Source organism: Homo sapiens, chromosome 3, assembly GCF_000001405.40.
Source record: "Homo sapiens chromosome 3, GRCh38.p14 Primary Assembly".
Lineage (NCBI taxonomy): Eukaryota > Metazoa > Chordata > Mammalia > Primates > Hominidae > Homo > Homo sapiens.
The window spans coordinates 196126184-196142079 of record NC_000003.12 but is presented as its reverse complement, the minus strand read 5'-3'; the positions used below and the strand labels follow the sequence as shown (position 1 = coordinate 196142079).

General features: G+C 50.1%; 5 annotated features.

The window, feature by feature from the left end:
* Positions 1481–1540: an enhancer, noted in NCBI's record as "active region_21067". NCBI's record gives its function as "activates an Ori minimal core promoter by ATAC-STARR-seq in GM12878 lymphoblastoid cells {active_cell/tissue: GM12878}" and the evidence as "EXISTENCE:reporter gene assay evidence [ECO:0000049][PMID:35858748]".
* Positions 1591–1640: an enhancer, noted in NCBI's record as "active region_21066". NCBI's record gives its function as "activates an Ori minimal core promoter by ATAC-STARR-seq in GM12878 lymphoblastoid cells {active_cell/tissue: GM12878}" and the evidence as "EXISTENCE:reporter gene assay evidence [ECO:0000049][PMID:35858748]".
* Positions 5530–6330: an enhancer, noted in NCBI's record as "H3K4me1 hESC enhancer chr3:195862621-195863421 (GRCh37/hg19 assembly coordinates)". NCBI's record gives its function as "activates a minimal SCP1, AML or CMV promoter by ChIP-STARR-seq in primed H9 embryonic stem cells {active_cell/tissue: H9 hESC(primed)}" and the evidence as "EXISTENCE:reporter gene assay evidence [ECO:0000049][PMID:30033119]".
* Positions 7500–7659: a silencer, noted in NCBI's record as "fragment chr3:195861292-195861451 (GRCh37/hg19 assembly coordinates)". NCBI's record gives its function as "represses an EF-1alpha promoter that drives an FKBP-Casp9 reporter gene in an ReSE screen in HepG2 liver carcinoma cells {active_cell/tissue: HepG2}" and the evidence as "EXISTENCE:reporter gene assay evidence [ECO:0000049][PMID:32094911]".
* Positions 15395–15896: an enhancer, noted in NCBI's record as "H3K27ac hESC enhancer chr3:195853055-195853556 (GRCh37/hg19 assembly coordinates)". NCBI's record gives its function as "activates a minimal SCP1, AML or CMV promoter by ChIP-STARR-seq in primed H9 embryonic stem cells {active_cell/tissue: H9 hESC(primed)}" and the evidence as "EXISTENCE:reporter gene assay evidence [ECO:0000049][PMID:30033119]".

Below are 15896 nucleotides of genomic sequence, written 5' to 3'. Positions count from 1 at the left end.
TTCCTTCCTTCTTTCCTCTCTCTCTCTCTTTCTCTCTCTCTCTCTTTCGAAGGACTCTCACTCTGTCACCCAGGCTGGAGTACAGTGGCATGATCTCGGCTCACTGCAAACTCTGCCTCCCAGGGTCAAGTGAATCTCCTGCCTCACTCTCCCGAGTAGCTGGGATAACAGGCATGTACCACCACGCCCAGCTAATTTTTTTGTATTGTTAGTAGAAACAGGGTTTCACCATGTTGGCTAGGCTGGTCTTGAACTCATGACCTTAAATGATCTGCCCACCTTGGCCTCCCAAAGTGCTGGGATTACGGGCGTGAGCCACCACGCGGCTAGTCTTGCTCTTTGTTATTTTGATGTCTTTCCTCCAGTTCCATGCTTTTAGGCATCTCTAACCTTCCCCTTCTTCTTTCCTCTTTCCCCTCTTCTTTCGTTTCCTCTTTTCTCTCCCTTGCCCCTACTCCTCTCTACCCACTAGGTAAGGGGATGTGTTTTTCTTTTTCCCCTCCTTAAACTCAGCCCCCACCTTAAGCCTCTGGAAATCAGCCTGGTAGTGGGAGGCAGCCTCGGGCCCCTCCATCTGTGACCTTGGGGAATTCCTGTCACCTCTCTGGGCCTCTGTCAAATGGGGACAATAATACCCATTTGATCCTCTGCCTCACAGAATGGCTGGGAACATCAAAAGAGGTCAGTTGGTTCATTTGTTCCATATTTATTTAAGCACGTGCAATTTAGCCAGGCACTGTGGTGGGTTCTGGGGTCCATAGCAGGAGTGAAAGACATGTGCAGACTGTCCCTAAATCCGCTCATCCGAAAACCACAGAGGGCTTCGAAAAAGACAAACTCCTTCCCTCCCCCAGATCATCCGGGTGGGACTCTGCAGAGTCGGGCAAAGCAGGTGGGGGCGGCGTCTGTGTTTTGTTGGGTTTTCCTGTGACTTGGAGTCACACTCTGTCACCGAGGCTGGAGTGCAGTGCTGCAACCTCTGTCTGCCTTCTGGGCTCAAGTGATCCTCCCACCTCAGCCTCCCAAGTAGCTGAGACCACCACAAGCACCACTGCACCTAGCTAATTTTGTTGTATTTTTAGTAGAGACGGGGCCTCGCCGTGTTGCCCAGGCTGATCTTGAACTCCTGGGCTTAAGGGATCCTCCCTGCCTCGGCCTCCCAAAGTGCTGGGATTGTAGGCATGAGCCACGGCGGCCAGCCTGATGTCTGAGTGTTTTTGTTTTGTTTTTTTTTTTTTGAGATGGAGTTTTGCTCTTGTTGCCCAGGCTGGAGTGCAGTGGTGTGATCTCGGTTCACTGCAACCTCTGCCTCCCGGGTTCAAGCGATTCCCCTGCCTCAGTCTCCCAAGTAGCTGGGATTACAGACGCATGACATGATGCCAGGCTAGTTTTTTGTATTTTTAGTAGAAATGGGGTTTCACCATGTTGGCCAGGCTGGTCTCGAACCCCTAACCTCAGGTGATCCACCCATCTTGGCCTCCCAAAGTGCTGGGATTATAGGCGTGAGCCACCGTGCCTGGTGGATGTCTGTTTTTATAGCTCTGCAAGTGAGCCAGGCTCCCGGGCGTGGAAACAGTGTGTGCCTGAGTGAAGGAGGACAGGCTGGCAGGGCGACCGAGTCGGCCCAGGGAACCATTAGACGGGCAGAGGTGGGGGGCGGGGGAGTAAGTGGGAGAAGCCGGGGACAGGAAGCAGAGGGGTTTTCCTCCTGCCCCTTGCTGGGTCGGCCCACGCACATCTGTGTCTAGGCTGGCTAGAGATTGAAGGCCTGTGATGGATTCTCTTAAAGAGTGATAAAAGTACCACAAGGGAAACAGAATAGCTCTAACCATTTCTTCATGATAGGGGCTTTCTCCCCTCAGGTATATTTTATAGGATATTTTCCTCAAAGATTAGCCTTTCCTTATTTGTTTTGTCTAGAGGGCGATCCTAAAAGTGGGCCTAGGTTTTCCATGTCGTTTTTGGTGTGTGTAAATTTTTAAAAACAGGTTTTGCTCATTTCTTTAAATATTGGTGTGATATTTCATGTTTGTAAAGCAGTCACTAAGTTTGACTGCCTGGAAATTTTAATGTATGCTCGTTAAGAAATGATGGTCGGGCGCCGTGGCTCAGGACTGTAAACCCAGCACTTTGGGAGGCCGAGGTAGGTGGATCACTTGACGTCAGGAGTTCGAGACCAGCCTGGCAAACATGGTGAAACCCCGTCTCTACTAAAAATACAAAAATTAGCCGGGGATGGTGGTGGGCACCTGTAATCCCAGCTACTTGGGAGGCTGAGGCGGGAGAATCACTTGAACCCAGGAGGCAGAGGTTGCAGTGAGCTGAGATCGCTCTACTGTATTCCAGCCTGGGGGGCAGGGTGAGACTCTGTCTCAAAAAAAAAGAAAAAAGAAAAAAGAAATGAGCAGTAACAACAACAAAAATCCTTAATGCCTCCAACCTTGATGGTTTAGAAAGGTCTTTTAAAGTTTTTATTGGCTGGGCATGGTGGCTCATGACTACAGTCTGAGGTGGGAGGCTGGGGTGGGAGGATCGCTTGAGCCTCGGAGGTTGAGGCTGCAGTGAGTCGTGATGGCACCACTGCACTCCTGCCTGGGCAACAGAGTGACACCCTGTCTTTACAGAAAATAACAATTAGCCGAATATTGCGATGCGTGCTTACAATCCCAGCTATTCAGGAGGCTGAGGTGGGAGGATCTCTTGAGCCTGTGAGGTTGAGGCTGCAGTGAGCCGAGATCATGCCATTGTACTCCAGCCTGGGTGACAGAGTGAGAGCCTGTCTCAGAAAAAAACAAAAAACCGAAGAAAAATGTTAACAGTGAGTTTGTTTTTCATGTGATAATGATTTGAATACTCAGGCACTGTTGATAGCAAGGGCGGGAAGAAAACAGTAAAATTCCTTCCTGAGGGAGTTCACATTCCAGTTGGGGAGAGGTAAGAAGCCAAGATGACCAGATACCTAAGAACGCGTTTAGCGTGGCAGGTCGTGATGAAATGCTAAGGAGGAAAAACAAAGCAGGAGTGAGGAGTATGAAAGTCAGCCAAGGAGATGGGATTGGAATTTTAGGCAAGCTAAGCCTGGGAGTCCTCCTGAGAAGATAACTTTTAAACGTAAGTCACAGAAAACTTCAAATGTACGTAAAAGTAGAGAGAACAATGAAATGAATACTCATATATCCATCATCTAGTATCAACAAATACTGCCAATTTGGTTTTATCTAATTTTCCCCAATCATTTATTTATTTTTGTGTGTGTGCTGGAGTTTTTAAAAGCAAAGCCAAGACGTCACATGAATTTTCCTGTAAATATTCCAGTGAGCATGTAAACTGATAAGGGATTTTGAAAACATACATCTACCCTGCTATTACGCCCTCAACAAAACTAACAAAAATTCCTCAGTATCATCCAACAACCAGTCCATATCTTCATTTCCCAATAGGGTCAAATTATCTTTTCACAGCTGGTTTTGAAACAGGATAATAACACCAGGCACAGCGGCTCATGCCAGAGGATCGTTGAGCCCAGGAGCTCAAGGCTGCTGGGAACCACACTCACAACACTCCAGCTTGGGGGACGGTGCCAGACCCTGTCTCAAAAACAGACAGACAAACAGGATAATAAAGGTTAATTTTAAGTGGTGGCATATATTTTATGACTTTTTCTCTATTTTTCAGATTTTCTACCATAAACATGTATTGCTTTTATAACTTTTTAAAAATATAATTTTGAAAAAGAAAAAGATTTGGAGGAAGAGCTTGCAGCAAATAATGACAAAAGACAAGGTTCATAAATAGCTAATAAGACTGATAAGCTAGGCCAGGTATGGTAGCTCAGACCTGTAATCCCAGCACTTTGGGAGGCTGAAGTGGGAGGATCAACTTGAGCTCAGGAGTTTGAGGCCAGACTGGGCAACATAATGAGACCTCGTCTCTACTAAACATTTTTTTTTTTTTTTGGGGACGGAGTTTTGCTCTTGTTGCCCAGGCTGGAGTGCAGTGGTGTGATCTTGGCTCACTACAACCTCTGCCTCCCGGGTTCAAGCAATTCTCCTGCCTCAGCCTCCCAAGTAGCTGGGACTACAGGCATGTGCCACCATGCTCAGCTAATTTTTGTATTTTTAGTAGAAACAGGTTTTCACCATGTTGGCCAGGATGGTCTCGATCTCCTGACCTTATGATCTGCCCGCCTCAGCCTCCCAAAGTGCTGGGATTACAGGCGTGAGCCACCATGCCTGGCCACATTTTTTTTTTAAATTACCTAGGCCTGGTGACACATGCCTGTAGTCCTAGTTACCCAGAAGGCTAAGGTAGGAGGATTACTTGAGCCTGAGAGATCAAGGCTGCGGTGAGCTGAGATCGCACCGTAGCACTCCATCCTGGCAACAGAACCAGACCCTGTCTCAAACAAAAACAAAAACTGATAATGAGCAAAAAATATGAACTAAATTTTATTCGAGAGGAAGTTCAACAGTGAATAACACCACACTGTACCAGATGAAACTGACAAGATGCAACCATATCAACAGCACAAAAGCCCGTGCCGAGTTGGTTGGAAGGTACTCACATGCTGCTAGAAAAGTGTAAATTATTCCACTCTGGGGAGCAATGTAGCCATAAAGAATTTGGGGCCGGGTGCGGTGGCTCACGCCTATAATCCCAGCACTTTGGGAGGCCAACACAGGTGGATCGCTTGAGGCCAGGAGTTCGAGACCAGCCTGACCAACATGGTGAAACCGTTTATCTGGTAAAAATACAAAAATTAGCTGGGTGTGAAGGCACATGCCTGTGGTCCCAGCTACTCAGGAGGCTGAAGCATGAGAATCGCTTGAACCCAGGAGGTGGAGGTTGCAGTGAGCCGAGATCACTCCACTGCACATCAGCCTGGGCAATACACTGAGACTCCGTCTCAAAAATAAGTAAGTAAATAAATTAAAATTATGTATAAATATGTTGTCCTTCAACAGCAAAAAGAAGAAAATATCCAGCAAGAGAATAATGAAGAAATAACTGATGGCGCATCAGCTTGGTGGCATATCAGGTTGCCATTAAAAATTCTACTTATGGGCCAGGCGCAGTGGCTCACGCCTGTCATCCAGCACTTTGGAAAGCCGAGGCAGGTGGATCACCTGAGGCCAGGAGTCTGAGACCAGCCTGGCCAATATGGCGAAACCCTGTCTGTACTAAAAATACAAAAATTAGATGGGCATGGGGTGGTGCACGCCTGTAGTTCCAGCTACTGGGAGGCTGAGGCAGGAGAATCCCTTGAACCCGGGAGGCGGAGGTGGCAGTGAGCCGAGATTGCGCCATTGCCCTCCAGCCTGGGCGACGAGAGCAACACTCTGTCCTGAAGGGGGAAAAAAAAAATTCTACTTATGAAGACTACAGGATTGTGAATGAACATTTATGATAAAAATATTACACAAGCAAAAAATAAATAATGACTCTGACTACAGCGAAATAAAATATGTACATGCCTGGACAAGCTGGAAGAACTAGACAGGAAGAAAACAACCTTGTTGGGCTCGAATGCTGAGATCATAGGTGGTTCGTTTTTCCTTTGCAGTTTTTTTTAATGCCTTTATATTGTTTATACAATAATTCTTTTGAAGAAGTCAGGATGTGGGTGAAGGGTTGGAGTAAGGTGGAAAATGTACCAGCATGCCTCGTCTCCTCCTTCTTGGAAGTCTGTGCCTCCAGCCTCCTGCTTGGGGTTGTCACTGCCCCACAGCCTGGGAGACTGGAAGGGAGCCGGTGAGGTCAACTCCATTTCTGTGGCCACTGGCAGGCCCTGGTGCCTGAGGCACTGCAGAAACAGACATGCTGGCTGCTCCCTTTTTCTCAGCCCACCTGCCTGCTGAGTTCTTTACATATTTTATCTCGATTTAATCCTTACAGAACTCAATGAGGTAGGTGCCCAATGAGAGTCGGGCAAGTTACCCAACTCTCAAAGCTGGAGAGCTGGGTGAGTTGCCTGAGGTCACACAGTGGGTAGAGAACACAGCCAAGTTCAAGGCTCTGCCCTTCACCTCTGTTTCCCACTGCTGTGCTGAGCTCACCAGGGAGCTATGCCGCCCAGCTGGCTGTGCAGTGGGGCAAGCTCTTCAACCTCTCCAGTCTCCTATGCACTCTTCGGTGATAAGTCGAGGGGTTCTGGGGAGGAATCTGCCTCCCTGGACCTGGACTCAGAGCTCCTCATGGGTCTGAACAGTGCAGAGGATGGTTGGACCATCCCCTCCACGGTCTCACTGTCCATCCATGCATTCAATTCACATCTGCAAGCTCTGTCTATGTACCAGGCACTATGCGACCTCTGAGATATGTGTACTAAGACACAGACCCCATCAGACAAAGGGAGGGACACACATCAACAGAGAAGTATCATGAAATATCCTTTCTTTTTATTTGAGACAGTCTCACTGTTACCCAGGTTGGAGTGCAGTGGTGTGATCACAGCTCACTGCAGCCTCAACCTCCTGGGCTCAGGGGGTCCTCCCACCTCAGCCTCAGGAGTAGCTGGGAGTACAGGTGCACACTACCACGCCCGGCTAATTTTTTTTTTTTTTTAGATGGGGTCTCACTCTTTGCCCAGGCTGGAGTGCAGTGGCACGATCTCGGCTCACTGCAACCTCCGACTCCTGGATTCAAGCGATTTTCCCGCCTCAGCCTCCCGAGTAGCTGGGATTACAGGCACCCACCACCACACCCGACTAATGTTTGTATTTTTAGTAGAGACGGGGTTTCACCATGTTGGCCAGGCTGGTCTCAAACTCCTGAGTTCAGGTGATTCACCCACCTTGGCCTCACAAAGTGCTGGGATTACAGGCATGAGCCACTGTGCCCGGCCTAATTTTTGTATCTTTTGTACAGACAAGGTTTCTCCATGTTGCCCAGGCTCGTCTGGAACTCCTGGGCTCAAGTGATCCTCCCACCTCAGCCTCCCAAAGTGCTGGGATTACAGGTGTGGGCCACCGTGCTCAGCAAATGAAATTCTTGATTCCAATGTCACCTGCTCAGAGAGGATGAGCTGGGCCATGTATTTAGAGTATCTCTGCACAGCCACTCACTGTCCTATCTCCCCGGTGCTTCGCATACATTTTTCACCGTTTGAAATTCTCTTCGTTACGAGTAAGTTCCATAAGGATGGGGACCTTGTCTTGCTCGCCTCTATTTCCCAGGGCTTAGTGCTGAGTAAGCCCTTCCTGAGTGTTTCCTGCTTCCTGAGTTATTGGGATGAAGCTGAGCAGAGTAGGGACGCACAGGACTGTTTCAGAAGGAGAAGAGGGCAGAGAAGTCTCTCCTGGGACAGTCTGGGAAAGGGCAGAAAATATACTTCTATTGACAAGAGGCCATGAAAACACTCAAGACCCTTCAAACCCAGAAGAGCAGTGACCAGGGCACTGGGACACAGTCAGAGGATCTGGAGTGAGAGATCTTGGCCGTAGCCCTGACCCCACAGGGAACCCGGAACGAGAGGATCCATGCTGGAGGGGCCTCCGAGCTCATTCCAGCCGACTTTTCACAGCTTCAGCGTCTGGACTTTGCCGGGAACAGACAGTCAGTGGCTCATGGTTTAGGCTTCCCCAGTTATAGACATACTTGGCTGGGGGCGGTGGCTCACGCCTCTAATCCCAACACTTCGGGAGGCCAAGGCAGGAGGATCGCTTGAGCCCAGAAGTTTGAGACCAGCTTGGGCAACATAGTGAGACCCTGACTCTATAAAAACATTAAAAAATGGCCGGGCACAGTGGCTCATGCCTGTAATCCCAGCACTTTGGGAGGCCGAGGCAGGTGGATCTCCTGAGGTCAGGAGTTTGAGACCAGCCTGACCAATATGGTAAAACCCTGCCTCTACTAAAAATATAAAAATTAGCTGGGCGTGGGGGCGCACGCCTGTAATCCCAACTACTCCGGAGGCTGAGGCAGGAGAATCCATGAACCCAGGAGGTGGAGGTTGCAGTGAGCTGAGGTCGGCGCCATTGCACTCCAGCCTGGGCGACAAGAGCAAAAGTCTGTCTCAATAAATAAATAAATAAATAATAAAAATAAATAAATAAATAGATAAAAATGGGCCAGGCACTGTGGCTCATGCCCGTAATCCCAGCACTCTGAGAGGCTGAGGTGGGTGGATCCCTTGAGCCCAGGAGTTCGAGACCAACCTTGGCAACACAGTGAGACCTTGTCTCTAAAAAAATAAAATACAGTAAAATAATTTTAAAGAGAGATGAACCACTCTCCCCCAGGCCTCTAAGCATGTGCCAGTCCTCCCAGGCACTGCAGTGTGTGTCCCTCTCAAGGACGGAGAGGTGGCAGAGCCTCCTCACTGAAGACTCATTTAAAAAAAAATTAGAGAGACATGGTCTGGGCCGGGCACGGGGGCTCACGCCTGTAATCCCAGCACTTTGGGAGGCCGAGGCAGGCAGATCACTTGAGGTCAAAAGTTCAAGACCATCCTGGCCGACATGGTGAAACCCCATCTCTACTAAAAATACAAAAATCAGCCAGATGTGGTGATGTGCACCTGTAATCCCAGCTACTCGGGAGGCTGAAGCAGGAGAATCACTTGATCCTGGTAGATGGAGGTTGCAGTGGGCCGAGATTGTGCCGCTGCCCTCAAGCCTGGGTAATAAAGAGAGACTCCATAAAAAAAAAAAAGAGAGAGAGAGAGAGTCTACTGTGTTATCCCAGCTGGTCTCCAACTCCTGACCTCAAGCGATCCTCTCATCTCAGCCTCCCAAAGGGCTGGGATCACAGGTGTGAGCCACTGTGCCCGGCCGGTGACCCCTTTTTTGTCAGTCCCCATTCATTCAGGGAGTTCTTCTTTACACCAAGTTACGTTTTCTGCCACTATAATTATAAATATAATAATTTCATTGTTTTCCTCTCATTACAGAGCACTTGAGATATAGGAAAAATATATACTTGGAATACATATGAATTATAAGGAAGGAAAAAATATTACCAATAAACCCCCACCCTGGAAATATAACTTGCTCATGTTTTAGTATATTTTCTTCTGTGCTTTTCTCTCTGCACTTCAAGCCATAGATGTAGGTGTCATTGGCATTGCCTGTTTCCTCCCTGTGAGGTTCTGATCTCTTCATTTACCATCAAGAATGCAGCTTCCCAGGAGGTTCATCTGTTGGGTCCAGCTCTCTGCTCTCCAGGCAGGGCTTTGGCCCCACCAGACACCACTGACTGGAGCAGCTGCCCAGTAGAGACACAGGTATCTTCTCCCCAGTGTCCTCTGTCCTGAAACCCTCAAGGAAGAAGAGCTTCTTATCCGCGGAGCACAAAAAGAGTTTCCCATGGGGAAGGGCGCTTGGAGGGGCAAGACAGAAAGCTGGGGTTGGAACTCGGAGCTGGGCATGGTGGCTCGCGCCTGGAATCCCAGCACTTTGAGAGGCCAAGGTGGGAGGATCTCTTGAGCCCAAGAGTTGGAGACCAGCCTAGGCAACATGGCAAGAGCCCGTCTCTACAAAAGAAAAAAAAAGAAACTCTGAAAGCCCCTGTAATCATGGTTTTTGTGGATCAACATAATCAAGACAGCACCTGGGACAAAGGGAATGGCAACGCCTCCACCACATCTTACACTGGACATAGCTGGCCCTGTGCCACTTCCATCCAGCAGGGCCTGTTAATGTCCAAAGTAATCGACACAAACCCCTCAGGGTCTCCCTCACTTAAAGCTCCACCGGGACAATCATGATTTTGCTTGGCTTCGTAGCTGGTAACTTATGGTGAAACCTACACGGTTTCACCTGGATTCCCCCTCACAAAGCTTGACTTGTTGCTGATTCTCTGATGTGGGAGCCGGTCGTTCCCATCTCCTGGCTTGGATGCCGGGGTGTTTCTGTGGCTCAGCTTGTGAGACCCTGGAGAGCATCAATCTCTGTCCTCATCCAGTTGGTTTACGATATCAAGCCAATCTGCACGGCCCAGCAACCGCTCCCTCATCTATGAGCTGACCCGAGGCCAGGGCCCACCTGCCTCAGCATCCACAATTCTCCCAAGGCTACATTCCAGAAAGCCTCCACCTGGCCCAGCCAGCCATCCGTCTTGCCTCCGGTTTATCAGCAGAATCCGCAGGACCAGGATGCTCCACCTGCCCCCTGCGTGAGCATTCCGTGGAAACTCAAGAACTTTTGACAAGTCGTTGCTTTATCCAAAGCCCCACCCGGGTTTCCTGTTCCACTCAAACCAAGTCCTTATAGTGGCTGTGCTCTCCAATCCACTGGGCTCCTGGCTGTTCCTCCAATATGTCAAGCATGCTTCTGCCTCAGGGACTTTGCATGGCTGCCCCCTCTACGTGGAATGCTCCCACCTCAAGTATCCATTTCGCTACATCTCTCCTTCAAGTTTTTGTTCAAACCTCATCTTCTCAGTGAAACACACCTTATCCCCCATATATGTATATATATTTTTTGAGACAGAGTCTCGCTTTTGTCACCCAGGCTGGAGTGCAATGGTGTGATATTGGCTCACTGTAACCTCCACCTCCCGGGTTCAAGCAATTCTCCTGCCTCAGCCTCCTGAGTAGCTGGGATTACAGGTGCCCACCACCACACCCAGCTAATTTTTTGTATTTTTAGTAGAGATGGGGTTTCACCATGTTGGCCAGGCTGGTCTCGAACTCCTGACCTCAGGCGATCCGCCTGCCTCGGCCTCCCAAAGTGCTGGGACTACAGGCTTGAGCCACCACGCCCGGCTGTCCCCCATGTTTAACAGTGCCGTCTGCATTCCCACCAGCACTCCTGATCCCCGTATCCTGTCACCCTCTCTTTTTTTTAATAGCTCTTATTCTAACATATGACATCATTAACTCATATACTGTGTTTATTTATAACTGTCAACCCTCTCCTTGCCACAACCAGAATGCAGGCTCCATGAGGCCTGTCTCTTCTGTTCACTGATAGATCTGGAGTGTCTAGAATGTGCCCCACACAAAGCAGGGGTACGATCATGAGTGAATGAATCGTGAATGAGTGAAAGGTATGTAGCATCCAATCTGCTTATAGGGGGAAGTTCCTGATGGGAAGGAATAAATATACTTTTACTGCGGACCAGAGGCAGACGTTGGAGGGGCCGTGTCTGCCGCAGTCAGGGATGCTGGTTTATTTCGGAATCTCCAGCTCATTCTTTCACCCTGCCCGATCTGGACGGGAAAGGAAGTGCACTCCGCGGTACCCAGGACATCTACCGGCGATGTGAGGCCTTCCTGGAGGCTTCTACAACAGAAACAGGCAGAGGCCCTCGACTTGCCTCAGCCCCATCTTGTATCAATTAGTTTTGACTTCCAGAGAACTTCTGGGACAGTCGCAGGGGGTGAGGAGCCAGTCCGGGTGACCGAGGGCCTGCAGAAATACTCTCTCGAGACGGTCTTCTTCCTGGGCTCAGCTGGGTTGACGTAAATGATGGCCCAAAGCAGCAGGGATGTGGTGGAAAGAGTTCAGCAGCCAGAGGATCTTCAGCTTCCACCTCTGCCACTTACGAGCTTAGCGACAGGTTTGGAAGCCACTCTGTGGTAGGCGGAATCATGGTCCCCAGGGATGTCCGTGCCCTAATTCCCAGAACTTGTGACTGTGTTATACCACACAGCAAAGTGGACTTTGCAAATGTGAGTGAGGTTTTATCCTTGGTTATCCCAGTGGACCCGGTCTAATCACGGGAGCCCTCAAAAGTGGAAAACTCGCTCTGGATAAAGGCAGAAGAGACGTAAGACACAAAGGATGCCAGACAGCTTGGAAGCATGAGCAGCAGCCACCATCGCTGGCTTTGGAGAGGAAGGAACAGAGCCACAAGCCAAGGGCTGCAGGTGGCCTCTAGAAGCTGAGAAAGGCCCCCAGGTGGCAGCCAGCAGGAAACAAGCCCTTCGTCCCACACCACACGCAACTGAATTCTGCCAGTAGCCCTCACAGGACTGGAAGCGGATTCATGCCCAGAACCTCCAGAAAGGCAGGCAGCCTGGCCTATACCTTGATTTTGGTCTTGTAAAGCAGTGAGCCGTGCTGTGCCTGGACCTCTCACCCACAGAACTGTGACCTAATACATTTGTGGGGTTTTTTGTTTTGTTTTGTTTGAGATGGAGTTTTGCTCTTGTCACCCAGGCTGGAGTGCAATGGCGTGATCTCAGCTCACTGCAACCTCTGCCTCCCGGGTTCAAGCGATTCTCCTGCCTCAGCCTCCAGAGTAACTGCACTACAGGCGTGCACCACCACGCCTGGCTAATTTTTGTATTTTTAGTAGAGATGGGGTTTTTCCAGGTTGGCCAGGTTGGTCTTGAACTCCTGACCTCAAGTGATCCACCAGCCTCGGCCTCCCAAAGTGCTGGGATTACAGGCATGAGCCACTGTGCCCACCCCATTTGTGTGGTTTTAAGATGCTCGATTTGTGTTCAGTTGTTACAGCAACAACAGAAAATAGATCTCTCAGAGCCTTGGTTTTCTCAGATCTTTCTGAGCCTTGGTTTTCTGAGATCTCTCAGAGCCTTGGTTTTCTTTTTTTTCTTTTTTTCTTTTTTTTGAGATGGAGTCTTGCTCTGTCGCCCAGGCTGGAATGCAGTGGCGCGATCTCAGCTCACCGCCAGCTCCACCTCCCAGGTTCACGCCATTCTCCTGCCTCAACCTCCCAAGTAGCTGGGACTACAGGCGCCAACCACCATGCCCAGCTAATTTTTTGTATTTTTAGTAGAGACAGGGTTCCACCATGTTAGCCAGGATGGTCTCGATCTGACCTCCTGATCCACCCGCCTCGGCCTCCCAAAGTGCTGGGATTACAGGTGTGAGCCACCACGCCCAGCCAGGAGCCTTGGTTTTCTCAGATCTCTCGGAGCCTTGGTTTTCTCAGCTGTGACATGGAGATGATGATTATGGCATCCATCTTGCTGACTGGCAGCAACTAAATGAAATAAGCAGAAGGGGCTTTGTGAACTGTTCTCTACAATACAAGACTGTAAATATTCTATAACTGAGCAATCTGCTCCTTAGCAGGGCTCATCTCTCAGCCTGGAGAGAGGCAAAAAGAGAGGAAAGTTCAGCCAACCGCTCAGTTCAGACCAGGATTCCAGGTACATTCAAGAAGAGCGACGGAGCTGGTGTGGTCGTGGGCACCTGTTGCCCCAACTATTCGAGAGGCTGTGTGGGAGGATCTCTTGAGCGCAGGAGTTCAAGGCCAGCCTGGGCAATATAGTGAGATCCTCTCTCAAAAAAAAAAAAAAATGGTGTTGAAGGGCCCTGACTCCTGGAGGCTAGTCCAAAGCATGTCTCCGTCTTCTAGGACTGTGGCCACAAAGCCTCGGGGAAGGGAACGGCCAGGTCAGGGGTGAGGAGCTTGCTTCTGGCTGATCTTCAGGCTTAGTCTTGAAATCCCACATGTTGAGCTGCTGCCCGAGGTGAATTGAGGCGAGGCCAGGCGAGGCCTGGGAGGAGGACACGGAGCCTCATGATGGACGCTTCCCACAGCCCTTCCCTTGTCTTCTTGCTTCGGTTCAGTTCAGCAAGCCTGGCCCTGCTACGCGTGACAGTGATACAGAAGCCAAGAGGGCCACAGAGGACGGGGACAACAGGCAATGGCAGGCGTGAGCCACCGCGCTAATGACAGGCAGTCAATCACCTGTATTCCTTGGCTTGTCGCTCCCTTCTTCATCTTCAAAGCCAGCGATGCGGTGGATGTGGTGCTCATGCCGGCAATCCCAGCACTTTGGGAAGCTGAGGTTGGGGAATCGCTTGAGCCCAGGAGTTTGAGACCAGCCTGGGCAAGAGAGCAAGACCCCATCTCCACTTAAAATAAAAAATTAACCAGGCATCTTGGCACATGCCTGTAGTCCCAGCTACTCAGGAGGTTGTGGCTGGAGGATCACTTGAGTCTGGGAGATGGAGGCTGCAGTGAGCCGTGGTCATACCACTGCACTACAGCCTGGGCAGCACAGCAAATGTGAGCCCCTCTTCTCCTCGACCAGGGCACTGGGGGGGGCCTCCCCTGCTGCTTTCTCATCACTTAGGAGCCCCCTCAGATCCCCCAGGCACCTGAGGGTTGTCTGTGCCCCAAGCACCCCACTTTTGCAAACTTTTCCTCCCTCTGCCTGCCCTGTCCTGGCTGCTCTGTGCTGGTTGAGGCTGGGTGGGGAAGAGGCTGGCCACTGAATCCACTTGGAGCACAGAGGGGACAGTCCCCCAAGCCAAAAGCACAGAGCAGGGGTGTCAGGGGCTCTCTGTTGCTGAGCCTCCTGCCCGGGACAGAACAGCTTCAAGAGTGGGAACTGCATCCTTTTATGGCAGGGGGCCAGTAAGCCCTCTTATCAGCTCCTTCCCAGCTCCTGTGAGACGGCCACGGCCTCAGGTGGTTGAGAAGGAAAGCGGTCAGGGTGCTATTTCCTGTCCCCCCTGCCCTGCACGGTCAGCCCCACCCTCACTCTGGGAAGCACCTCACAGATCCTCTCCCTCAAAACACACACATCAGCCAAGTTCAAAGGGCCTTTTGAGGCAATCTAACCCAAATTCCTTGTTATTCGCTTGCGGAAAATAAGGCCCAGGCAGAGGGATCCTTTCATCACACAGACAGTTGCTCTGATGGCAGTGATGAGGCTTCAGACCTTTTCCTCTCTGAAACTCACCTACTACACAACCAGCAAGCTGCACCAAAAAGGAAGGTCGAGTCTCAAACCAGCTCCTACCACGCCCGTCCTCTGTATCAGCCTGCAGCTTTTAGATTCTAGACAGGGGCCGGGCCATCCTGTTTACTCTTAGCCAGAGGGACTTATCGCAGAGGTAACCACATTCTCCCATGATTAAATAAAAACAGCCACACTTCCAGATATTCACTCATTTATTTATTATTTATACCACACCTACTTCCAAAAAAGCATTTGAGGCAGCTCACAACAAAAGCTACACATACAACAGGACTGTCAACAGCGAGTACGTGTCCAGACCGCCAGGACCTTCCAGCAAAAGCTACACATACAACAGGACTATCAACAGCGAGTACATGTCCAGACCGCCAGGACCTTTCACAACTGCAGACTATGGGAGGAATTTTGTTTTTTAAGGACAAAAGATGTCTTTGACTTCAGGCACTTGAGAGAGTCAGGTCTTGAGTGTGGACATTTAAAGGTGCCTGGTCAGGTCAAGAAGTGAAAATTGGAGCATCTAGTCTAGGCGCGGTGACTCATGCCTGTAATCCCAGCACTTTGGGAGGCTGAGGTGGGCGGATCACAAGGTCGGGAGTTCAAGACCAGCCTGGCCAACATAGTGAAACCCCGACTCTAGTAAAAATACAAAAATTAGCCCAGCATGGTGGCGTGCGCCTGTAGTTCCAGCTACTCAGGAGGCTGAGGCAGGAGAATCGCGTGAACCCAGGAGGCGGAGGTTGTGGTGAGCCAAGATCGTGCCACTGCACTCCAGCCTGGGCGACAGAGTGAGACTCCATCTGAAAAAAAAGGAAGAAAGAAAGAAAGAAAATTGGGGCCTCTAATAAAGTGCAGGGGCAGGCTGGGTGCGGTGGCTCACGCCATAATCCCAGCACTTTGAGAGGCCCGGGTGGGAGAATCACTTGAGCACAAGAGTTTGAGATGAGCCTGGGCAAGAAAGTGAGACCCCATCTCTACAAAAAAATAAAAAGAATTTAAAAATAAATAATTAGCTGGATGTGGTTTGCTCACACCTGTGGTCCCAGCTACTCCAGAGGCTGAGGTAGGAGGAACGCTTGAGCCCAGGAGGTTGAGGCTGCAGTGAGCTGTGATCACTCCCTTGCACTCCAGCCTGGGTGAAAGAGTGCGACCCCATCTCAAAATTAAAATAAAATAAAATAAAATAAAATAAATACAATAAAATAAATAGGCCAGGTGCAGTGGCTCACACCGGTAATCCCAGCACTTTGGGAGGCCGAGGCAGGTGGATCAC